The sequence below is a fragment of the Homo sapiens genome, chromosome 3 (genome assembly GCF_000001405.40).
Source record: "Homo sapiens chromosome 3, GRCh38.p14 Primary Assembly".
NCBI classification, from domain to species: domain Eukaryota; kingdom Metazoa; phylum Chordata; class Mammalia; order Primates; family Hominidae; genus Homo; species Homo sapiens.
This window is the reverse complement of record NC_000003.12, coordinates 81,950,772-81,977,941: the sequence shown is the minus strand read 5'-3', so window position 1 is coordinate 81,977,941 and position 27,170 is coordinate 81,950,772. Positions and strand designations below refer to the sequence as shown.

General features: G+C 36.4%; 2 long non-coding RNA genes across 2 annotated transcripts in view; one reads left to right on the top strand and one right to left on the bottom strand.

Moving 5' to 3' along the window:
* Positions 1-753: 753 nt before the first annotated feature.
* LOC124906199 (uncharacterized) lies at positions 754-7,002 on the top strand. Its single transcript, XR_007096262.1, has 3 exons — positions 754-1,045; positions 1,233-1,297; positions 6,885-7,002. It is a non-coding gene; the product is annotated as an uncharacterized LOC124906199 (long non-coding RNA).
* A 17,675-nt stretch (positions 7,003-24,677) lies between these two features.
* LOC105377179 (uncharacterized) overlaps positions 24,678-27,170 on the bottom strand; it is a 30,411-nt gene continuing 27,918 nt past the window's right edge. The window contains exon 4 of the long non-coding RNA XR_940999.2: positions 24,678-24,822. This is a non-coding gene — a long non-coding RNA (uncharacterized LOC105377179). The remainder of the gene's footprint in view (positions 24,823-27,170) is intronic.

Below are 27,170 nucleotides of genomic sequence, written 5' to 3'. Positions count from 1 at the left end.
ATGTGAATACGTTTTTAATGCAGACAAAACTGCTCTATTCAGGGTAAGGAGAGCCTCCAAGGACATTTAATTAGTAAGGAAGTAGGCACCAGAGTTTAGGCAGGAAAGTATAGGCTAACTCTACTGTTTTGTGAAAACACAGTCAGGCTTCCGACGAGGACTGCCCTTATCCGTAAAACAGCTAATCCCCTAAACCCCAAGCCTTGAAGAAAAAGATAAATACCATCTGCTAGTCTTTTGCTTATACAACAAGAAGGCCTCAAGAGGAGAACCCTTTTTCTGGATTGGTTCTATTGATCCTTTGTTACCTTGACAGTAACAGACTGCCTTTTAAAGTTCTTTTGATATTGGACACTGCCCCTGACCACCCAGAACTCTATGAGTTCAACAGTGAAGTCATAGAAGTGGTCTACTTGCCTCTAAACACAGCATCTGTAATTCAGCCTCTAGGTCAAGAATCATAAGGACCTTTAAGGCTCATTATGCACAGTACTCTATGGAAAAAAATTGTCAATCTATTAATATGTCACCAAACCCCAAAAGAGAAAATATCATGAAAATCTGGAAGGATTACACCATTGAAGATGCTGCTGTTGTTACAGAAAAATCCATAAAAGCCATCAAGACTGAAACAATAAATTTCTGCTGGGAAAAAAACAACACAAAACTGTGTCCAGATGCTGTGTATGATCTCACAGGATTTATAACAGAACCAATCAAGGAAATAATGAAAGAGACTGTGGATATGGCAAAATTAAAAAGTAAGGGATGAAGGCTTTCAAAATATACATCTTAGAGAAATTCAAAAGCTAATAGACACCAAACCACAATAGAGGAATTCACAGAAGATGATTTGATGGAGATGAGTGTTTACAATCCAGTGCCAGATGGTGAAGAAAAAGACGAAGAAGAAACAGCGCCAGAAAATAAACTGACATTAGGCAATCTGTCAAAAGAGTTATGTTGAAGACCGCTTTTGACTTCTTTTATGACATGGACCTTTCTACGATATGGGCACTGAAACTAAAGCAAATGGTGGAAGAAGGTTTGGTTCCATGTAGAAATATTTTTAGAGAACTGAAAAAGCAAAATGATAGGAATTATGATGTTTCTGTAAAGTTACACCAAGTGTGCCTGCCTCTCCTGCCTCCTCTCTCAACTGTTACACATTTTCCATCTCTGTCACCCCTGAGATATCAAGACTAACCCCTCCTCTTTCTCCTCCTTCTTAGCCTACTCAATGGGGAAACCATGAGGATGAAGACTTTTATAATGATTCATTTCCACTTCATAAACAGTAAATGTATTTTCTATTTTTTATAATTTTCTTAATAACATTTTCTTTAGCTTGTTTTAAGAACACAATATATAATACATATAACACAAAAAATATGTGTTAGTCAAATATTTACATTATTGGTAAGGCTTCTGGTCAACAGTACGTCATTAGTAAAGTTTTGGGGGAGTCAAAAGTTATATGTGAATTTTTGACTGCACAGGAGTCGGTACCCTTAACCCCCACATTGTTCAAAGATCAACGGCAGTTCTGTTTCAGCAGGAAAAAAAAATTCTCAAAATTCTAAACCAAAACATAGAGGATACATTTTACTTCTTGCCAAAAGAAGATACCCATTTTTTAAATTCTACAAAGGATTTCCCATACTCGAACTGTTGCCTGATCTCCCTTTAAAAAACCACCTTTGCAATGCTTAGCAGATATTAAGTATTATTAACTATTTACGGTAATATTTGCCTACCCCTGTAACTTTTACCATAAAATATAATATTATGAAATTCAACTAGCCTCATACATAAAGGTATTTAATTTTAGTTTGAAGGACTTATTTCATATAAACAATAGCATGGATTGAACATGCATCTACCTTCAATTGAGTTGCATGAATTAATTACAGAACGACTGCCTACTACTATTGAAGTCTCTAAAATATGCCTTATGAATCATTAGCAATTTTTTTCTAGTATTTGTGATTTTAGAATTACTTCTATCTCATTTCCTCCTATTCTTTAGCTCTGTAATTTTCTTACTCCTTGATGTAAGAGAACACTACTGTTACTCCTGAAGAGACCTAAAAGAGGAGAAAACACCAGAAACAATGACAAAGACTCTAAGAAGCTACTATGTTGGCTCTGTAAAAATAATCTTATTTTACTCAAATATTTTAGAGTTATATTTGTAACATTACCATTCCATGTACGTAGATTTCTTCCTTGAACTTCTATTTACTGAGGGCCTAGCAGGCAGAACACTGAGATGGACGGGCAGTTAGAGACAGTACAGTGACTCACTTAGGCCCATGCTTGGCACCCACATTTTAGCTAACTTCAGTTAACACCCTCCTCTCCCAACCTAATTCCAGTTTGAATTCAAGACTTAACTTATATTTTACCTTTTCCTTGAAAGCATGGCTCACCCTTCTCTACTCCCCTGTAATATTCTTTACAAAATCGTAGCATGCCACTTAAGATAGTTTCATCATCAACTGGTCCTGGACTAGTATCCCAGAAAATAAAAGCTCCTGGAGAATGGAGTAAGATATGCATCTTTTAATTCTTGGTCCCAAGCGCAGTGCCTGGCACAGAGTGGATACACAGCTCAAGTTTATGAACAGGCTAATTAATGAATGAGTTAGGAAGCTTCAATTACTAATAATATTATTATGATATACAAATATATAACAGAAACAGACATTAATGGATGTTGCTACTTTCTTTTAGTAACGTTCCATCTTTTCACAATTTTATTTTAAAAGGTTGTCCTAGGGCAGAAACTTCAGCATTTATCAACTTCATAACTGTAAAATCAATAACCAGTATTTTCAGAGCACTCATAAAAATGAGGTTAACAAAAGAGAAAAAAAAATAAGGATGGCCAGTCAGAAAAGAGAAACTGAAAGAAAACGAGTTCTGTTCTACCTCAGTTAATGGTAATATATGTCTCCAACGAATTCCCTTCCCTCTAAGCCAAGGCTCTCCTTTTGTCATTGTGATTACTAAGTGCATGATAGTCTCCTGGTTAACTGATGATTCTGACACAGCACACACACAAGCACTGTTAATCCTTTACTCCTAAAGCCTTCACCAGTGCACACAGTGAACAGTGAGGTTTGGTCACCTGGGAGCACTTCTAATTTCTTCTATTTCATATTCATATTCAATGTTAGAAGGATTTACTCCTATTGGGCATCCTCAACATGTTTCTAGATTGTCACTAAGTCGCCATTAGAAATATTACTAACTGTGAGAAACATTAAGCTTGGGATTCTATAGTTTTATAATTCTTAATCGAATGAATTTCCCCAAAATTAATCTAATAGGTCATTCCTAAGGAATTCATTATGCACCTATGTAAAGACAACTCTCTGAGTGTCTGAAAAGAAAGTAGAAAACATACTTTGTTACCTCAAGGAGTTTATATTCTTATTTTATAGTGTTTCTATGAGTTGTAAAATTGTAAATTGACTGCTTTTCTGAGATCAATCCATATTTACTCTCAATTAACACTACATCCTAGATGAGAACTAATGAAAGATAGATTTTATTTTCATGGAGTAGCCACTTATTTTTCCCTTTGTTTTACTCTCCTCTCTAATAATTCTCAATCTGCCTTGCAATTTATGTGCCAATGCTTGCTGCTTGACCTCAGCATCCGCTTTCCAAATGCTTCACCACGTGCCCTGATTCTGTGCGAGACAGTGAAAAATTCTGTCTGAGATGTAAGGGACGATCGGCAATTTAAAAATATATATTTTCCTGTGTTCTCACTTTCTTCTGAGAAGTCTTTCATTCTACTTCTGAGTGAGTTGATTGATTTCGAACTAGTTTAAACTCGAGGTCTGGAGCAACAAGCTGAGAAAAAATGATAGAGAGATATTTTTAAAGTGCATTGGTTTTATCTTCTGATTCATTCAATAGAAAAGCTCTTTTATGGATAAAAGTTCCTTTTTGTAAGCTGTAGTACTCTCAGTGAAGCATTACAAAAAAGAAGAAACTAGTGAAATGCTGACAGTTTAATACAATTAAGTGTAAAAGATGCAGTGAAGGTTGAACAGGAATGATTTGGGCTTTATTTGTGGTATTCTTTCTTTCTCTTCCTATGTGCGTATGTGCATGCATGTGTGTTTCCGAATTAGTTCAGTAAGTGAAGCAGTAAGCTTTAACTGTGAGTAGTGAGTGTATAACAGATAAATATAGACAAGTTTAAAAAGAAAATCTGACCTTCAATAAAGTTAACAAAAAGGCGAAGTTTTCTTCCCATTCCTGCAATTAGAATACCTCTCACTACTCTTAAGTAAAATTACAAGCTGGTAAAATGTTAAGGACCTCCTCAAAAGATCTCCTTTACCTCCCTGATGTCTTGAAATCTCATAAAAAACTTTCTGCCTTTCCTTTAAAGCTTTAGTTCTTATATAAATAAAGATATCCTCTGAGAGGGATAGAATATTAAGTTGTAAGGCATTTCCCATTCAATATTCATGTTTCCAAGGAGGTCAACTCATAGAATGCTTCGAGAACCTTTCATATAGTAATGGGGACTCGAGTTGAAAAACAGAGATGTTCAATCCATCAAATATTCTTGATGTAGAAGCATATTACATTCATTAGAGAGCATGCGATGAGAAATTACAGTAGGCTTTGGGCTCTTTATATACTGTAGTTTATATACTAATGTGATGGAGAATATGCTTTTTCCCAAAGTACATTTTTCCGCAATGAAGAACTAATTATTTGAGACCCATTTATTCCTTATCTTATTTAGTGCTGCCCATAACCACTTAAAAAGCCTTGATTTATGTATTTGAAAATTTTTCTGTGTACAGGCATATCTCAAGGATATTGTGATTCTGGCTCCAGACCACTGCAATAAAGTGAATATTGCAATAAGGCAAATGACACAATTTTTGACTTCCTGTACATATAAAAGTTATGTTCACACTATAGTCTATAAGTGTTTAATAACATGATGTCTAAAAAATGTACACATCTTAATTTAAAAATACGTTATTGCTAAAAAATGGCAATGATCATCAGACCATTCAGCAAGTTGTAATCTTTTTGCTGGTGAAGAGTCTCACCCTCATGTTGATGGCTGCTGAATAATCAGGGTGGTGGTTGCTGAAGGCTGGGCTGGCTATGGTAATTTTTAAAAAAATAAGGCAACAATAAAGTTTTCTGAATTGATTAACTCTTTCTTTCGTGAAAGATTCTCTGTTGTATGATATGCTGTTTGATAGCATTTTACCCACTTAGTAGAACATCTTTCAAAATTGGAGTCAGTTCTCTCAAATCCTGCCACTGCCTAATCAAGTAAGTTTATGTTATATTCTAAATCTGTTGTTGCCCTTTCAATAATGTTTATAGCATCTTCACCCAGAGAATATTCCATCTTGAGAAGCCACTTTCTTTGCTCATCAATTAGTTTTATAATGAGATGACAGTAATCCAGTCATTTAGCATATTTTTTTTCTGAAGTACATTTTTCAGCAATAAAGAGCTAACTCTCTGAGGCTTACTTCTAATCCTAGTTATCTTACTATTTCCACCACATCTGCAGTTACTTCCCCCACTAAAGTCTTGAGCCTCTCAAAGCCATTCATGAAGATTGGAATCAACTTCTTCCAAACTCTTCTTGCAAAAGGCTGATGTGGATATTTTGACCTCCTCCCATGAATTACAAATGCTGTTAATAGCACCTAGAACGGTGAATACTTTCCAGAGGTTTTAAATTTACTTTGTCCAGATCCATCTGAGGAATCACTATGAATGGCAGAAATGGCCTTACCAATGTATTTCTTAAATAAGAGTTGAAAGTCTAAATTACTTCATGATCCATGGGCTGCAGAAAGAATATTGTGTTAGTGAACACGAAAACAACATTAATTTCCTTGTCCATCTCCATCAGAGCTCTTGAGTGTCCAGGTGCATTATCAATGAACAGTAATATTTTAAAGAGTCTTTTCTTTTCTGAGCAGTAGGTCTCAAGAGTAGGCTTAAAAGATTCAGCAAACCATGCTGTAAACAGATGTGCTGTCATCCAAGGCTTTGTTTTTCCATTTATAGAGCACAGGCAGAGTGGATTTAGCATAATTCTTAAGGGCTCTAGGATTTTCCAAATGGGAAATGAGAACTGGCTTCAACTTAAAATCAAAAGCTGCATTAGCCCCTAACTAGAGTCAACCTGTCCTTTGAAGATAAGGAGCCAGGCACTAACTTCTCTCTAGCTATGAAAGTCCTAGTTGGCATCTTCTTCCAATAGAAGCCTCTTTCCTCTGCATTGAAAATTTGCTACTTAGTCTAGCCACCTTCATCAATATCTTAGCCAGATCTTCGGCATAACTTGCTGCAGCTTCTCCATCAGCCCTTCACCTTGCACTTTAATGTTATGGAGACAACTTATTTCCTTAAACCCCGTGAACCAGCTTCTGCTAGCTTCAAACTTTTCTGCAGCCTCCTCACATCTCTCAGCCTTCACAAAATTAAAGAGATTTAGGGCTTTGCTTGGATTAAAGGTTACTTTAAGAGAATACTGTGGCTAGCTTGATCTTCTATCTTCCAGACTGCTAAAACTTTCTCCATATTAGCAATAAGGCTGTTTGTCTTTCTTATCATTTGTATGTTCACTGGAGTAGCACTTTTGACTTCCTTCAAGAACTTTTCCTTTGCATTCACAACGTATGTAACTGTTTGACACAAGGAGCTCAGCTTTTGGCCCATCTCAGTTTTTGGCATGCCTTCCTCACTAAGCTTATTCATTTCTACCTTTTTATTTAAAGTGAGAGATGTGTGACACTTTCTTTCACTTGAGCACTTTTCGGGGCTATTGTTAGATTGTTAATTATTCTGATTTCAAAACTATTGTGTCTCAGAGAATACAGAGGCCTGAGAAGAGGATGGGAGATGGGGGAACAGCCAGCCGGTGGAGCAGTCAGAACACATAAAGCAATTGTTGATTAAGTGTGCCATCTTACACAAGTATGGTTCATGAAGCCCTAAAAGAATTTTAAAAGTCACGTCGAAGATCACTGACCACAGATTATCATAACAGATATCATAATAATGAAAAGTTTGAAGCATTATAAGAATTACCAACACATGACACATGGAAAAAAAGTGACCACATACTGTTGGGAAAATGGTGCCAATAGACTTTCTTAATTCAGGATTACCACAAATCTTCAATTTCTAAAAAATGCAGTATTTGTGAAGTACAATCAAATGAACTACAATAAAATGAGGTATGCCTGTATCAATATTTTTCTATTCTTTATGATCACACATACTGATATCAGATCTCATGGACTTCAAGTGCTTGCAGTGAAATGACTATCACTGTTACTTAGGTCACATTGTCCCTGAACATGACATAAAAGCTTAATTTACACTTTTTACATTAGTGATCCCTGTGCTTGAGAGGGCTTCCTACTAAAGATTTCGCTATACAGAGCATCCACCACCATTACCACTATCCTCTCTCCTGAGTTTGAAATTCTTACCTCTTAATCAAAGCCCATGGGAGGCCTTTTAGGACAATAATTCTTGTGGAATATAGAGGAAACAGTGTTTCCTTCATTAAATTCAACAAAGAATTTTTGTGCTACTATTTTTACATTAGAATTACCAAGGCTTTTTTTTTTTTTTTTTTTTTTTTTGACAGTCTCACTCTTGTCACCCAGGCTGGAGTACAGGGGCACAATCTCAGCTCACCGCAACCTCTGCCTCCCAGGTTCAAGCAGTTTTCCTGCCTCAGCCTCCTGAGTAGCTGGGATTACAGGCGTGTGCCACCACACCCAGCTAATTTTTGTATTTTTAGTAGAGACGGGGTTTCACCATGTTGGCCAGGCTGGTCTCGAACTCCTGACCTCAGGTGGTCTACCTGCCTCAGCCTCCCAAAGTGCTGGGATTACAGGCATGAGCCACCAGCCCGGCCAAGGCTCTTTTTAAGAAATATTACCTATTGAAGGTTCTAATACTATTCATTTTTTCTATATAAACTAGGCCTTCTCCCCAATGAATCTCTATTCCTTTACCCTGTTTTATTTTTCCTCTATAGTATTTATCACCACTTGAAATTATATCACACGGCTGGGTATGGTGGCTCACACCTGTAATCCCAGACTTTGGGAGGCTGAGGCAGGTGGATCACCTGAGCTCAGGAGTCCGAGAGCAGTCTGGCCAACATGGTGAAACCCATCTCTACTAAAAATACAAAAATTAGTTGGATGTGTAGGCATACACCCATAATCCCAGCTACTGGGAAGGCTGAGGCACAAGAATCATTTGAACCCAGGAGGCAGAGGTTACAGTGAGCCGAGCCCGTGCCATTGTACTCCAGCCTGGACAACAGAGTGAGACTCTGTCTCAAAAAAAAAAAAAAAAGAAAGAAATTATATCTCACATTTATTTTTGTATTGTCCAACTTCCTGCACTAGAATATAAGCTCCACGAGTGTGGAGACCTTGTTTCATTCACTGATTTTTCCCCAGCACCTAGAACCATTCCTAGGCCATTGTAAATACTCAATAAATATATGTTAAATGATAAGCTCAAGCAATTAATTAGTCTCAGTTTCAGATACTACCTAGTTCTTCACCACATCATATAGGGAGCCTGTGTTACAAATGGGACCATATCATAGGCCACAGGCCTATTGGGACTGAATGAAGGTTTAGAAGCAATGATTGAGGCCTGCTGTCACTGAAGACAAAGGAATATTTATTTAGATTCTTCTTGGCAATCAGTAAGCTCCACTGCACTTTAGAGATACAATTATTTTATCGATAATAAATAATCTATTGCTCTTAATTTAGGCTAGCTTGTAGCTAACGACTTAAAGGTGAAAATGTTCATTGCCTATTATCAAGTACCTTAGCGTATTTACATCTTTAGGTGTTGACATCTAAAAAAAATGAGGTCTCATTATAAAGGACATTTCATAAGGCTGCAAGGTTTTGAAGTGAGCACCATTAAAAATATAAAGCCACAGGGAGGGTTTTTTAATCATTTACAGTAAAAAAGTGTGAGCATATGAATTCCTCACGAATCTGTGACTACAGGGATGTGCCAAACACAATTGTGGCAGCAATCATTGAAATGCTTTACAGCATTCTTAGAATACCTCCCAGCCCCGTTCTCTGCAATGGTCCATAGAGTACAACAAGAAAACAGGGACCACAACGGCCAGAGGGAAGGGGATGTTTTCAAGAAAAATGAGACATTTTATGCATGGAAGGTGTTATCTGCATAATTGGGCAGAAAGCAGCAAATGTTTTAAACAATTCATTTTGATCATTATTGTCAGTTTTGTTTTGTTTTGTTTATTCAGAGAAAGCACACAAACTAGAGATTTAAAGCAAAAGATGCTTTTGTTTAAAACTGACTCTAAATCTTAGAAATGTGCTTGGAAAATTGTTTCTAAAAACATGAAAGTGCAAAGGGACTACTATAACACGTATACTAATCCTAGTCAACTAAATACACTTGCTGAGCTGGACTGGCATCTAGAAGCCTCCTCTACATTACCATGTCACTTACTTCCTGCCAAAACCAGGTACCATGGGCTGAGGAAAAGGGAAGTGCTAAACACAATGGTTTAAAAAAGGAATACGGTTCTAAATTAGAGGTTGCATCAAATGATCTTCTTAAAACATATGATGAGCAGGTAATTTCTAAGACACGAACATTTTTCTATACTATTATAATAACAAAACTTGTAGTGTGGTTAATACAAATGAACAGGAATATGTCAGTTCTATTATTTGTAATTCAATGAAGAAGCAACACCTAACAGATAGAAAGCACTGTAGTGGGCGTTGAATAGCTGAATTCTAACAACATATGACTTTTCTTTTAATCATTTCACATGTTTGCGTTTTAGCATCTCTTTTTTAAAGGTAGAGAAGATAAACCTCTTCTAAGAATAATCTGGGAATACACTAAAATGAGAAAGGTTGCACCTCTGATATTTTAAGTATTATTGATCTTGATTACATAGCCACAGCCAATATAATTTAACCTGGATATGTGGTGCAAGAGAATAATAAAAAATCTAATAATTAATGAAATTAATCTTTGATTTTCAACTCCATCAAATATGAAAGGTACAACTATAATGTAAACCATCTTAATAGGTAGCCTAAGTGTATTCTATATGTTATATAATGATAGAGAAAGGCACATATTGCTTCCTTCATTCTTTTACTATCTTTTCTACTTTCTTGCCAAAGTGGAAAATCTGGTGTTAATGTATAGCATGAATCAGAAGTGTTAGAGAAGAAAGAAAACTAACTTTTGGTGAGTACCAGTCACTGCTGGTGTATGATTTATATAAGTTAAGTTACTTGATTTTCATAGTAATCTGATGAGTCAGGAGATTTTACTGTTGAGAAAATAAAGGTCACACTCTATTTTTGCACAGTGTCATACAGCTAGTAAGCACCAGGACCAGCATTTTAAACCCTTATTTGAACCCTTATTTACCTGTCTCTAAAGCTTTGGCTCCTTCTGTCACCTTCAACCTTTTCTAAGGATTTTATAAACTCATTCACATTTTCCCAGCAGGGTTATTCCTGGAAAAAGGAAGAATCTTCTCTCTTCTCAGTGTCTCTCTTCTGCTTCCAGGGTTTTCAGGTGGTTAATTTGTTAATTTATAATAAAGGAATTCATGCTAAATTATTTATAAAATGACAACTTAGTTAAATACTACTGCCAGGGTCTTCGCATTTTAAAGAGAAACTCTGGAGAGTCTTTCATTCATTCATACTTCGAACAGACACTGGGTACTTGCTACTTGCAAACATTAGCTATAGGAAGTTGAAAACTGAATACAACACATACTCTCTCTGCCCTCAAAGAGACTACAGTCTATCTCAGTGGAAGAAATGGTGATTCTAAGTAAATTAAATGCTACTATAGCACAGTGCAAAGTTCTCGAATGTAGACTCCAGACCAGTAGCATCAGCATTATCTAGGAACTTATTAAAATGCAAATTTCTGGCCCTACTTTATAGATATTGAACCAAGAACTTTGGGACTGGGACCCAGTAACCTGTATTTTAACAAGCTTTGAGTAATTCTGATGCAAACCGAAGTTTGAGAAACATTGATGTAGTGTGTAAGGTATAGGTGCTGGATTCAGACTAATTGGGTTCAACTCTTGCTCTACCAATCTCCTGACTGTAGGACTCTAGGCACGTTACTTGAATTCCATGTGTCTGTTTTCTTTTCTGTAAATTGAGGAGGATGATAATGATAGCACCACCCTGATATGATCATCATAAGGATTAAATTAGCTAATAGATGCTAATCACTAGAACAGTACCTGACACATTGAAAAACACTCAGTAAATGTGCTTTGGTTTTGTTATGAGGCATAAATAACTGTTGAGAATACCATGTTTTGTTTAAGACCCAAATAACTCTTGAAACTATTCAAATACTCTGAAAAACCTAAAATGTAGTTATTTAATAATTAGAAGACATTTATTCAGCAGGCTGTTTCATTTTTTAAGCAATGAATGATGCAATTTCTTAACTAAAGACTTGAGTGTTTAAGGTATAAATGTGCAGTAATATGGCCAAAAAATCAATAATTTTTTTTTAGTAAAGATCTGATAGCAGCTTATTAGCTATAATGTGTAGGTAGGTACTTATCGTATTATTGCTTCTTAGGACTCAAACTGACGAGCAGCAATTAACTATCTCAAAGTGTGATATTATTTGTTTAGTACTTATTAATAATATTGGAGGATTTTTTAATTGTAAGAATGATGATTTCTTGGGAGAGACATCTGGTCCTTCAAGGACAATTACTTGGTTTGAGATTCTCCAGAATTTGAGAATTTAAATTGTTCTGCTCTGTCTTGAATTTTTACCTGTTTTACCAGAAAACATATAAAGCTTCCTTTAAGAATCAAGAAAGTAGCATCACAACCAGAAAACAGATTTCTTAGCTTCGGCTTAGTGTCACTTTCTGCTTTCCATGAATTGGGGTAACAAGAGCATCCCTCTGTGCTCCCTGCTCCTCCAAGTCTGCCAAGCAATTAGCATCTCTTAACATTTCCAGGCAGCTGCCTAATGAAATGCTTGTTTCTCCAGAAAGTCATTTTGCATATAAAACTGTCTGATCGTCTGAAACTAACAAAGGTATTTTCAGTCCAAAAGACACCCTGACATTTGCCAAAACAAATGTTCAGATATTTCAAAATTTCATCCAAAATTTACATTAGGCCTATCTATAGAATATCAGTTAAGGCTGGTGACCATTAAAAAATTAAGTAGCATCTACAAAAATTTTTCCTCACTTTAAAACGTCTTCATTGTGTAGTTCTTTCAGTAGATTATGAATTCCCAGGTACATTTCTTCATTTGCTTTCTGAAATGGTTCCTTGGAGGAAAATCAGAACCATGAAGAAGATGTAAATGAGAAAAAAATGTGCCATTTAAGCTTTTTCCAGCTGTTCTTATCTCCATCTTTCTATAGTTAGTAGACCTGTGCCTTGTTCCTTGGGTTTGTGAAGATGAACAGATTTCTGCCCACTCTTAAGGAAGGTTCTTTTCTAAGTGTTTAGAGTTCCATATTCAGGACACAAGTTCATTTCTCTTATCTTCTTATTTATGCATACCAGCCTAGAAAGGTTTAGGGCTTAACGACAAGAAAATACAAGTCACTGCAGCAGGAAGATGCAGCATTCTGACTCTTCTACCTTGACTGCATGCACAATTAAGCTAAAAGCTTTGGGTTTAACCTCTTTTCATTAGCTTCATGTGTACTTGAAAATTTTTGCAAAACGTGGCCAAGATGAGAATTTGTTCGAGGTTAGGACACAGAATCATTCAGTATAGTGATTGCCAGGATGTATTAAGGTTGTAGAGAGCATGCCTTGACAACTGATAACGCTAGAGTTATAGTCAAGGCCCAGAACCAGGAATAATCTTATCTCTGGAGAAGGTTAAAAAGACAGAACTATTCCTGGTGTCAGTAAAAGAGCAATAGGATATTCCTAGGATCAGAGTAAAGAGATCTGTCTCATAGTGTCTGCTGTAATCAGACTATGCCACATTCAGAGTCAGATGGAACATTTTTTCCAATTCCCTACCTGCTCACAGATACCAATCATGTCATAAACACAGGGCCAAGTAAAGCGAATTATGCTGTAACTTCTAACACAGAGGTTTTTTGAGCTGTTATGCCCCAAAGGTAAAGAGACCTCAAGAGAAACCAAAAATCTTAAAAGAAAGCAAGGGAGAGAAAGAGAGAGAGGGAGAGAGAAACTAATCAAGAAATGGATCAAGATTGGATATGAATCCCAGTATCTTCAATTCTATGACAAATGATATTTGTGCTTGAACCAGATTGGATTGGATTTTAAGTGACAGAAGATAATAAATAGGAATTTTAGGGTTTTAATGTTAAAAAAAAAAAAAACTTCAGTCTAACCACTGTTCTCTTGATTTAATGCATTCAGAAGAAATTGATTTTTTGATTTTTATCTTGCTATAGAAAAAAATCTAAAGACAAAATGTCTCTATATAGCAATATATAAGTACATTATACACCACACACACACACGCACACACACACATACACATACACAAGACTGTCTTGATTTTGTCCTTTTCAAATGAACTAAAAGATTCAGATCTTGTCAAAAGGTCTTGGGACTTTTGCTACTACACAAAAAACCTGACATACAATTTGCTCAAAATGTCTCAGCTGGAAATTTACTTGGACTCTATTGGTTTGTATTGAATAGAATATTCCCAAGTGGTTGTAATCTTTGCAATGGCTCAATCTGGAATCTTAGGAAGTAAATTCCAAGAGCAGAGAAAGCTTTGTATGATGATATTGAGAGGAATAAAGATACTGTCTGCTTTATCTAAAAATAATTATTTAGTAGGAGTTAACCATGTTGGTCCTCTCTTTCAACATCACTACTGTCTTAGCCTTCTTAAAATTTAGAAAGGAAAAGGCAACAACTGGTAATTAAATCACCACGTTACACACAAGATTGTGTTACATATAAACAAAGCCCTCCCCCAGCTCCAAAATAGCACATTATGTGAAAGCCTCATATTGACTGATAGAAACCTCTCACATGTTTCAACTATTCTTCGAATCCATGCAGGTTATTCCAGTAGATATTTTATATAGTGGTAGAAAAAAAATTGACAATTTCTAGATCTTTTTGAAGCGTGTTTAAAACTGAGGAGTTTTTTTCTATGTGTTTAATTTTATAATTACTAAGTCATACAGGAGGAATAATTATAAGAACTAACTTATTTTTTCTTACCACAGCCCTAAACTACATCCCATATATCATATTTTTAGCAACTGAAGTACGTCTGCAGGTGCCAAAACTACCAATGGATTTGTCTAAACCATTAAATAATCAGTCCCTCAAGTCAAATAATGAGTCACACAGGTCGACATTGATTAGTCAATTTAGTCAAAATAGTCCATCTGGAACATAAAAACACAACTCAAAAATAAAGAAAGAGGAGGAAAAAGAGGAAGAACATATTATCCTGCATGACTCTGGCATTGTGTACCTCCAAATATTTTATTTTTGATTAGTATTTTAATATGGTTTTAGAGAAAATGGACATATGGCAAGCTAAAGATTCTTAACAAGAAATCTATTTGTGCAAAAAATATTCAAAGATGAACTGATACAAGGTCTGGGATTCGTTTCAAAATAATCCAGTGTCAGTGTGTATGGAGCTAGACAGTGGGCAGAGGTTAGTAAGGTATGCTGAGAGGGTGACCATGTAATTCATTATCCAAAATAGAACACATTTGAAAAATAAATGGAGAGTTAAGATCATTAACAGTCATGGCTTGGTTTAAACCAGGAAATGTGGTCAGCGTAAGCGTACTGGAAATAAGGCAAGAATTGAAAATTGTAGAGCCTTTCCCATATTACCAATCTAATAGGCCCATAGGGGACTCATTATACTGTTGTCTTAAATTTGCATGTGTTTGGAAATTTTTCACAATACAAATTCTGTAGCGTAAAGAACATTGATTATTTGTCATTAATGGCTATATAACGTCAATCCAATCCTTTTTTGTATTGATTTGATTGGCTCCATATGATGGCAAAGGTCTCTTCACTTTCTAAAATTCTGAAATTCAACAATAAGGAAATTCAAGTCCAACTTTGATTAGAAATAAATATGGAAAGATGATGGGAGGGCTTATTCAATAATGCCATCTTATGCAGGTTTTAAGGGCCTTCTGAAAAAAAAGAAATGTGTAGTAGTTGAATTAGTGTTCTGTAGAATGACATCACCAATGTGAGTCATAGAGAGAAGAAAAGAAGTAAAAGACAAGTTTGCCATTCTAAGATTTCTCTCTTCCTGAGTAAACAATAGTGCTGTGAATCCAGTACCTATGGAGCAAGTAGCAATAACAGAATACAACACAGAATCAGTTACACTGCATTTACGAATAAGCGATAAAAACCAACAAGAGCAATGCAGGCACAGATCTCAAGGGCTGCCTCTGCCTGTTGTCATCAATATGGATCTCTACTGCTCTTTCCATCCTAGGGTGATCCATATTGATTGTAGAGGCCAACAGAATCCAAATCCACAGGCTCAATCTATTGTGCTGTGGTCCATTTTTCTCCAGCTGTGATCATGAGTACCATTAATTAAACTTGGTGTCTTATTATTTCTTGTATTGTAGATCATCCTTGTATCTATGGCTCATTCATATATATAATTACATGAATTAATTCATTCATCCTGAAGGGGCTATTAGCAGAAAGAATACTATTTGGGAAAGCAAGTTTGTATAAAATTTTACCTCAAGTTCTGGTGCCTCCACAATGTGGAAATAGGCCATATACTCAAAATAAAATCATTTACAATCATTCAAGTAAATGGAGGATCATTTCTAGGTTATCATTTAATCTACATAAAAATGATATAAGACTCTAGATATAAGGTAGTACTATTATTATCACCTCCAATTCACTAATGAAAAATTTAGGCACAGAGGGTTTAACAGATGTTACTAGCAAGTTGCTAATAGTCATCTAGCTTCCCAAGACATCGTGACTCCTATACTCAACACCTTTTTTGCAAGGAAGCATTTTCAAATGAGTAGTTATGGCAAGATGTACCAAAAGAGACCCAAAATTAGAAAGGCTGTATGCTATACTTACATTGACCATATGTTGCCTCCCAAAAAATATTAAACTTCTTCCTTTCTTTAAAAATAAAGTGAAAAATTAGTTCTATACTTCCAAGAAGATGGGGTCAGTCACCAACTTTAGATAGTACATTTGTATTAATCTAAAGCAAGGGCTGACAAACTCTGGCCCTCAGGTCAAATACAGCCACTGCTTGTTTTTGTAAAAAAAATTACAGAGATACAGCCATATCCATTTATTATAGTCTGTGAATGTATGTATGCTACAATGAGTAGTTGCAGTATAAAGTATCTGCCACACAAAGCCTAAACTATCACCTTTCGGTTCTTTACAGATAAAGTTTCCCAGACTCTAGTATAAACCTATCACAGTGATTCCACTTACTCTGATTGGTTTAAATAAAGACAGGCAATATTTTCCATGCCAATGAGACACCTGGGAAAGTCTATTGTGTCTGTTGGGGCTGGGGGGACTGGGGGAAAAGGAAAATAAGGAAATGTTTGCTCTTTCAGCCTTTGAACATTGCTATATGAAGATATGATACAAGGGCTTTGTCATGGATTAAACTGTGTTCTCCTAAAAAAATGTTGAAACATTAACTCTCATACCTCAGAATATAACTTTATTTGGAAACAGGATCACTGCACATGTAATTAGTTAAGATGAGACCATATTGGAGTAAGATTGGCCCCTGATCCAATATGACTAGTGACCTTATAAGAAAATGGTCATGTAAAGACAGACACAAGGAGAACGTCATAGGAGGATGAAGGCAGAAATTGAAATGATGCATCTACAAGCCATGGAATGCCAGTAAACAACTAGAAGCTCGGAGGGAAGCAGGAAACAGATTCTTCACATATATCACAGAAGGAACCAACTCAGCCCACACCTTGATTTCAGACTTCCAGTCTCCAGAACTGTGAAACAACAAATTTCTCTTGTCTTAGCTACCTAGTTTGTGGTACTTTGTTAGCAGACCTAGTAAACTAATACAAGGTTGCTGCAGCACACCTATATTTCTAAGGGGTGTAGCCTGAGGACATGGGACAATACACTGAGGATGACAGGACACAAATGGAGAGATGGTACAAACCTAAGTTACTGAGGATAATGTTGACCCACTGAGTTAACAAACCCTAAAATGACATCTCTGGGTTCTTATCTGAGATAATAAATTCTAATATCACTTAAGAAATTTTGCACATTGTTCTTTGTTGCTTGCAACCAAAGCATCATAAATTACATACCACAGAGCTTGTATTTTCCTGAGCAATGTTGATACTCTATTTCACTGTCCACATAAGCACTGTCATACTTATTAGGGATTACAGTATTTTCTTTGATTCAAAAAAGAAGGTGATTGAAGCAATACTGGTACTTGGAAGCAGGTAGAAAAGAAGAGGTGAAAGCTTTAATGACAGTAGTCAGGGCCAGTAATGCACAGAGCCACAGAGATTAAGGTAGTTAGGTTGGTAAGCTGTTAAGACAGATATCAACTATGACAATCCAGTGTTCAGTTATGAGATGTGATGAAGCAGAGTGGTAAATTTTGAAAAAAGAGTGGATTTGTTACCAAAACAAATTGACATCCCTAGTGAATGGCAACAATGTTTATGTAAAGGCCAAAGATTTTTAAATTTAACAGTTGATAAAACACAGGCACTTTCACTGAACAACGTAAACTAGCAAAATTTTAAATGCAAATGTTAAGAGAAGGCCATCTAGCTATCTGTACACATTTTACTGCACGTATTTGCATGTAGGTTGAGAGACAGAAAGCATTATGCAGTGACAGAAAAGGTCTCTAGAGGGGAAATATCAATAACAACAAAGTATTATATAAAGAAATGCCCTCTACCCCAACTCTCCACTTCCAAAACTTCGTAAGTCAATTTTTTTCATGACTGGTTTTAGAGAGAAAGTCAGGATTCCAAATTAGTACCTGTAGAGCTTTCAGAAATCATACAGTTATCACCCCATTCACCATCCACCCCCAGACTCACAGAATCACATCTATAGTCAGCCCAGTATTAATAGTGATTTATCATATCCCTCTGGTCTACAGAGCAGAATTCCATAGAATCATTAAACACCATCTTTAGCTGAAAGATGAAGTGTCTCTCAAACTCAGTGCAAACTACTCTCAGAAAAGAAATGACTCAATGCCCAAGATGTGAACAATTATCTGATTTATAAGTTAATACCATATGATGATGATTCAGAGTGTATGGTGCATGGAAAGAAACAAAAAGAAACATTCCTTTTTAATTAAGATGCTTCCCAAAAGTTGACATTTCCTGTAACCCCACTTTATTCAGCAAGCATTTCCACACACCATCGCCCTGCTAAAAATGGTAGCAATGTCTCTCATTGGCTTGACCTCATAAGACTACCCTGACAAGCCACTAAAATCCCAAACTTATTTGAAAAAGATAAAAGTAATTTATATACAGAATTAAGATTTAATAGAGAACATACCACTCCTTATCCATTTCTATAGCCAGCTCTCAAGATCAGGCCCTTATCCCTTTAATGCTTGAGTTACTCAGCTGATTTTGGATCTTTGCCCCATGTTTCTACAAACAGTTAAGAAACCAGTCTTCTTTAAATGCCGTTTGTAAGGCATCCAAATAGAAAAAGAGGAAGTCAAATGACCTAATGTCTCTTGTTGATGGTATAATTCTGTACCTATAAAACCCTAAAGATTCCACTAAAAGACTCCTAGACCTTATAAATGACTTCAGCAAAGTCTCAGCATACAACATCAACCTACAAAAATCACTAGCATTTCTAAACACCAATAACGTGCAAGCTGACAACCAAATCAAGAACACAATCCTATTTACAGTAGAGACACACAAACACACACACACACACAAACCTATGAATACATTTAACCAAGGAGGTAAAAAAAATCTTTACAAGGGGAACTCCAAAGTACTGCTGAAAGAAATCAGAGATGACACAAACAAATCAAAAAGCATTCCATGCTCACAGATTGGAAGAATCGATATCATTAAGCTGTCCCCACTGCCCAAAGCAATCTACATATTTAACGCTATTGTTATAAAATTAGCAACATCATTTTTCACAGAATTATAAAAAGCTATTCCCAAATTTATATGGAACAGAAAAAGAACCTGACTAGCCAAGGCAATCCTAAGCAAAAGGAATAAAGCTGGAGATACCATGTCACTAAACTTCACATTATACTACAAGGCGACAGTAACCAAAACAGTATGGTACTGATACAAAAATAGACACATAGACTAATGGAACAGAATAAAGACCTCTGAAATAAAGCCACACACTTATAATCAACTGATCTTTGACAAAGTTAATAAAAATAAACAATGAAGAAAGGACTCCTTAATAAATGGTGCCAGGAAAACTGGCTAGCCACATGCAGAAAAATAAAACTGGACCTCTACCTCTCACCATATACAAAATTTAACTCATGATGGATTAAATACTTACATGTAAGACTTCGAATTATAAAAATCTTAGAAGAAAACCTAGAAAATACTCTTCTAGACATTGGTCTAAGCAAAGAATTTAAGACTAAGTCTGCTAAAGCAAATATGACAAAAACAAAAATTGCTGATTAGGACCTAAATAAACTAAAGTGCTTCTGCACAGACAAAACAAAACAAAGCAAACAAACAAAAAAACTATCAACAGAGTAAACAGACAACCTACCAAATGAGAGAAAACATTTGCAAACTATGCATCTGATGAAGGACTAATTTCCAGAATCTACAAAGAACTTGAACTAATCAATAGGAAAAAAACAACCCCATTAAAAAGTGGGCAAAAGATATGAACAGATACTTCTCAAAAGGAAACATACAAGCAGCCAACAAATGTAAACAATTCTCAGCATCACTAATCATCAGGGAAATACAAATCAAACCCATGAGGGCCAGCTGGGCGCAGTGGCTCACGCCTGTAATCCCAGCACTTTTGGAGGCTGAGGCAGGCAGATCACAAAGTCAGGAGATCGAGACCATCCTGGCTAACACAGTGAACCCCGTCTCTACTAAAAATGCAAAAAATTAGCCAGGCATGGTGGCACGTGCCTGTAGTCCCAGCTACTCGGGAGGCTGAGGCAGGAGAATTGCTTGAACCCAGGAGGCAGAGGTTGCAGTGAGCCGAGATCAGGCCACTGCACTCCAGCCTGGGCAACAGAGTGAGACTCTGTCTCAAAAAAATAAAAAATAAAAAAAAATGAGATACCACCTCATGCCAGTCAGAGTAGTTATTATTAAAAAGTCAAAAAATAATAGATGTTGGCAAGGTTGCAGAGAAAAGGGAAGACTTATACACTTCCGGTGGGAATGCAAATTAGTTCAGCCCCTATGGAAAGCAGTTTGGAGATTTCTCAAATAACCAAAAATCGAATTACCATTTGACCTAGCAATCCCCTTACCAGGTATATACTCAAAGGAAAATAAATCCTTCTACCAAAAAGGCACATGCACTTGTATGTTTATTGCAGCACTATTCACAACAGCAAAGACATGGAATCAACCCAGATGCCCATCAATGGTGGAATGGATAAAGAAAATGTGGGACATATACACCATGGAATACTACACAGCCATAAAAAAAGAACAAAATCATGTCCTTTGCAACAACATAGATGGAGCTAGGGGCCATTATCCTAAGTGAATTAATGCAGAAACAGAAAACCAAATACCACATGTTCTCACTTATAGGTGAGAGCTAAGCACTGGGTACACATAAAGATGGGAACATTATATACTGGGTATTCCAAAAGGGAGGAGGGGTGAGGGGAGCAAGGGTTGAAAAACTTCCTATTGGGGACGATGTTCACTACTTGGGCGACAGGATCATCAGAAGCCCAAACCTCGCCATCATGTAATACACTCATTTAATAAACCTGCATTATGTACCCCCTGAATCTAAAATAAAATAAATTTTCTTTTAAAAATACTATTTTCATGCTTTCTATTATCTCTAATGGTTCTCTATTTTCTGTATATCTCAAATCCAAGTACCTAATTTTTTATTCATTTTCTAATGTCATACCTCAAGCCTTTATATATCTTTTACAATCCAACCAAAACAATTACGTAGATGCTTTAAATGATATTTGTGAAGTTTTTCTCCTGTTAAAAAGAAAATATACTACCAATAAAGGCTTTTGCATTGAAATGTAAATAATTTCCTTTAAGACTTAGTGAACTGCTTCTGGAACCCTTCTCCAACACGCCAGCCCAATTTTGATCTCTCTCCCTCTCTCTCTCTCTCTCTCATTTCTTCAGCACCTGGGTATGCATAACACAGGTACTAGGATGCTTTCTGCCTTCAAATTCTTGTCAAGGGTATAAGTTTTGTTTTAATCTCCATGTAGGATTGGAAGCCCCTCAAGGGCAGGAGTCTTACCTTCTCTTCTTTTGTGTTGTCCTCAAACTCTGTCAGCTTCACACAAGCACATTCAAATGTATGCTGACTGTCTAACTTAAGCCTCCGTTCTTTCATTTGAGTGTATAAAGCTCATCAGCAGCTGGTTGAGCATGCTGATTTGAAAAGCTGCTCCAATGTATACAATAAGTGATACATTTCATGTGTGGTGAATAACTGCTCCCACTTTAAAATTCTAAAGTGCAGCATAAAAATAGCGTATGACAAGGCTGTCCATCTGGAAGTAGCGTTCTATGCATTATAAAGTGAGAAGGCACTAAATCCTGAAGAGGGCTGAAATTGGAGAGACCAGTGAAGTGTTTTGCCAACAGGAAAGGAAGATGATTGCTTTTCTCTAACTGTGCCGTGTTGCCAAGTATAGGAATCCAGCTGTTGTGCAAGATTTATATTCATTTTACTTAACTATAAATGCATCATGCACCATTTTTCTTTAATTACTCAGATTAGCTGGGTAGGTGTAGGTGATGCACTGAGGTCTGAGTGTAATCAAAATGAGCTGCTGCGATAAAGTGAAACGAAAATATTTTTGTAGTCAATGGGAGGGGGGGAAGGATGTTTATGTGAAAAAATAAGATCTTTTCACTGCAACAATCTAATTAGCATTAAAATCTCCTTAGTTAGCCAGGACTGAGAATCTTCCAATTATAGATAAAGTGATTTTGCAGCAGAAATCTATATCAATTTTTTTACATTCTTAATTACTTTTTATTTTGTGCCCTCATATTCAGAGCATTCTGATGGCCAGCTTTATCCTCTGTAAGCATGCCTGCATGCCTCTTTCCTCAAATCTCTGAAAAGCCTTTAATTTCCTGAATTTTTATATCAGAATTCCTGGCCAGATTTCCAAATTGCCTATCAACTTGTTCCACCCTCCCTAACTCAGTTCTTATATGAGTTTCCCATCCAATTTTTTCTGTTGAGTACTTTTAAGATTTTTCTCAGAATGTTCCATATTCTCACAGTAGCCTCTGTTCCATTCATCATATTTGAAAACAATTTTTACCTCCTACTGTAAATCTTTACTGTCTTTTAAAACTCATTCCGTATCTTAATAGTTATCTGCTTCACCAGTACCTCTGCTTGCGTGCGAATATTTTCATTAACTATATACAACATCTGTCCACATACATATATTTTATTCATGGATCAATGGAATACAGCTTTGTTACTCTGGTTCAATTTATTACATTACAATTCTATTTGAAATAGGACTATATTATATAATCTTGGTGTTGTGTAACTCCTTTTAGCACTTAGAATAAGTTGTTATTAAGAGGTTATTAATTATCATTGTGCTCAATCTAAGATATATACTTCCATTGTTATTTTCCTCCTATTTTTCTTACAACCTTTATTACCTCCTATAAGAACATGGTTCCTGTTGAAATCCCAGATTTTGATTCCCTTCACATGGCTCAGGAATAATTATCGTATCAGTCATGATTATGTAGCACATTGCAGAAGTACAGTATCGCACAACCATTTATGATTTTCATTAATCATTATAATTACCGCATTGCACTGAAATGCCTCAGCTGCTTGCCATGGATAGTGCTGCAGTCAGCTCTGTCTGTCCTCCACCCCACTTTGATTCTGGTGAACTCTCAAGTTTCTTAAACTTACAGCCTTCACTTAACAGCATAACCTGTGCTGTCTTGTAAATGTAATCACTTGCATAGTCTTAAGTTAACTTAAATTTCTTAGGCCTCTGCTTTGAGTCCCAATATAGTACTTTTCTTGGCCAAGTCAGTACATTATTCTTGGATTTGTGAATAATGTGGCTTTTTAAGAAAAAGATTGAGACAGCAAGGTAAATATGTGTAACAGGATCTGTGGAATTATGGTTACTTTAGGTGATTATTTTATCTTTTTAACCACTGATCTGCAAGAGAGAAAAATGTTTTAAAATTTTTTGAAATTGGACTAGTTTTTAGTAATTCTCTGTTTGAAGAGATACTGACCTGCATGACATCAAATATGAAGGGGATAATTTAGCTAGTTAAGCATTCAGTGAGGATTCAACTGGGTCAGAGCAATATCTTCTTTCATGTAGGAAAGTACTTCAAATTTTGTAACAAGTGAGGATAGGAATGTGGTCTAGTAAATTTATAATTTCTTCATTCAGTATTTCTCTAAATGAGAGAACACATAAGGCTTTTACATTCCCTGTGCTTTTACTGAAGGTATAAATCCCTCACTCTCTCTCTCTCTCTCTCTCTCTGTGTGTGTGTGTGTGTGTGTGTGTGTTTATGTACACAGCAAACATTCTAGCCGGGTGCGGTGGCTCACACCTGTAATCCCAGCACTTTGGGAGGCCAAGGCAGGTGGATCACTTGAGGTCAGGAATTTGAGACCAGCCTGGCCAACATGGTGAAACCCCATCTCTACCAAAACTATAAAAATCAGCTGGGTGTGGTGGCGGGTGCCTGTAATCCCAGCTACTCAGGAGACTGAGGCAGGAGAATCAATGAAACCCAGGAGGTGGAGGTTGCAGTGAGCCGAGATCACGCCATTGCACTCCAGCCTGGGTAACAAGAGCAAAACTCCGTCTCAAAAAAAAAAAAAAATCGATTTTTTCAACTCAGGAAGCAATAGTAATGAGACATTTCTGAATGCCCCTGCACTCAACACAAATTTTATGATGAAAAAAATGTAACACAGTCATATGACACAATATTTCCCCTATTTTACAGACTGTATGAATGTGTGTGTATCTGTTCTCTCTCTTTTTAAATAATTTTTTTCTGTAAGTTTTCCAAGACATTAAAGTACTACTAAAGAATTTTAACCCTCTTTTAATACAAGAATTTGGCAACAAAATGGTCCCATAAATATGAATGACTTTTTAAACACTAATGTTTGAAGCTTTTAAAATAGAATTCTGGAGTGTGATGTTTCATAAGGATCACACAAAATCCTATAGAGAGCAATATGACTTTGAGTGGGGAAAGAGGGATGTACCACATATGGCTTACAAATTGCTTCATCGGATTCTTCACATTTGCAAAAGTCAACAACAGCAATTCCGATTGGCTCAACAAGTTTAGGCAATTACCTTACAGATGCAATAACAGTGCGGAAAGTTCAGCTCAGTTTCTGCAAGCGCTAGTCCAAATGAGAATTGCGAGCAAAGCAGTGAGTAGTGATTTCTCCCCCAAGTTCTTAATGCTCCAGGCAAGAGTTTCAATCCAAAGGGCTGTTGAGAAAACGGACAAATACTGAGCAATGGGTAGTGATTGCAGTGCAGGCTGCTGCAGGCACTGGTAGAGAGGAAATAACACTTATCAGAAGCAAAAATAAAAGATGACGGAATAATAAAAGTAAGACTATTGGTGAAAAATAATATTTTTGTAAAATGATAAATGCAGAGAACAATATGTTCTCTCGAGACATAAAAACTTTTATAAAGAAGTCATCTAATCTTTAGAGGGCTAGAAGTGTTAATAATGCACTTGGGGATGTTTAAGTTATTGTTACTGGTTTGCTGATAATGCTGTTTTTCGCTTCAAAATGGCTTCTGGGTAAGTAACAATCTTCCATTTAAAATCTGTCTGCCCTGCTGACACTCTCTGATCATATTGCTTACTCAGACCAGGTGTTTCATGAAACCAGCTTTAAGTGCCAATAATGAAGCACCTTAGAGGGTCTATGTCTCAGCACAGATGTATGTAGTTTTGAAGTCTGAAATCTCCGGTGTCCTCAAATTTGGAAATTTAAAGCAAAGAGCAAATAGTTTTCTTGTGTAATGTTAATGCCTTTCTCTTCTTCTTTAGAAAATACGTGGGCTTCATGTGTTAGAAATGGATGTTATTTTCCCTGCATTATGGCACTGTACGAAAAGATCTGTGAGGCAGAGAAGCTTTTATTCTCATTATACAGTATATGTGGAAGCACTAAGAAATATGAAATCCTTCACTGGGGCAGAGTAAAAGATTTTCATTTCAGCTGGAGAGGAAATGTGCCAAAGTGGCTGAAAATAATTCAAGTAATTGGCAAAGAGCTGTACTCTAAGGAGGCTTTTGGTGTAATTTGATTTTGTGCCTTTTAGGGGAGCAAGTGAGATATGAGTCTATCTGCCCCTGAGGGCCAAGAGATTTTTTAACATTATGGGATCCTTAAGGTAGATGACGATGAATCACAGTGTCAAAAAGACAATCTAGACTTGTGATATCCTTAAGAAATAATAATAATAATAAGGATAACGCTCAACGGAGTTAGAGAATGTCCCTTATGGTGTGTAGTTTGTGCTCTGCCAAAACACTGAGAAAACAATCTTACTTAAAAGCTAGATGCTCCTCTGCCTACAAATTTAGCATAGGATTATTGTTAAATGCCATAAATGCTGCCAATAATAAAGGATGAAAATAACCAACTGGGTCAGAATTAGTTTTGTATTGACGGGCACCCACAGCATCACCAAGTCAGAGAAACTTGCAAAGCAGCCAAGTTTGTTTTGGCCAACTCCCTCTTAAGTCCCTATCAACTTCCCCTCTCCTTATGGCCTCTTCGCAGATCTTGGATCTTCTTCAAACAGAGGCTTAGATCTCTATTCATTTTCAGTTTATTCCTCTCATAGTGCAAAGAAAAAGGCAGCTTTACGTGTTACTTTATTTTGGAAGACGCCATTTCCTTCAAAGTAATTTCAGCAGTGAAACTTTAAGCATAATTCCAAAATATAATATTTTCAGTAATGGACTTTTAAGCATTTTTTTTTACACAAGGGGTCCTTAAACATTCTTTTTCTGCAACTTAAATGTTAGGCAGGCTCAGACTATATTAATTCTCACATAGAATAAGTAGAAGATTTGAATTGTTCATTCACTCCAAGAATTTGCAGGTAACTTGTAACTTCAGCGCTGTGTATGGTTACTTTCTTTTCTCTGGTTTATTCACAAAATTAAGGAAGAGAAAGAAAGCGCTGCATGAGATCCCTCCAGGACAAGGCCACACAGGTATAGCACAGTATATGAATACCCGGGCTGTAGGGCACTCTCCTACCAGCAGGGCCATACTAAACTGCAGAGTCCCCAACCCGCCGACCCCGTTTTCCCATAGCTCAGTGGTTCTCAAACTTTAGCCCACATCTAAATTATCTGAGGGCTTGTTTAAGAACAGATTGCTGGTTTCCAGCCCCCAGAGTTCTTTAATCAGTAGGTTTTAGTTGGGGGTGGATCTTTGCATTTCTAGCACATTTCCTGTTGATGTTAATGCTGCTGATCCAGGGGCCACCCCATAGCTCAAACTACCATCCATATAACTATTGTATTGTCCAACCCCACAATACAAGATCATCTAGAAATGATGCGTTCTGTGTGAGGTTCAGAAGTAGCAATACACGTCCATGAACAAATTCTGTGTTCATGTTTTTACACAATTCTTTGAATAAAATATCTCAATTTCTTTATTGGGTTCAGTGAAAAACAGAACACTTGAAAGTCAGTTCAGGACTTCCAGTTCCAAATGAGATACAGTAGATGCACATCTCTATGTTGGTCTTATTAAGAAATACTAAACCCTGAACATTATGTATTGTAAAAGGTAAAT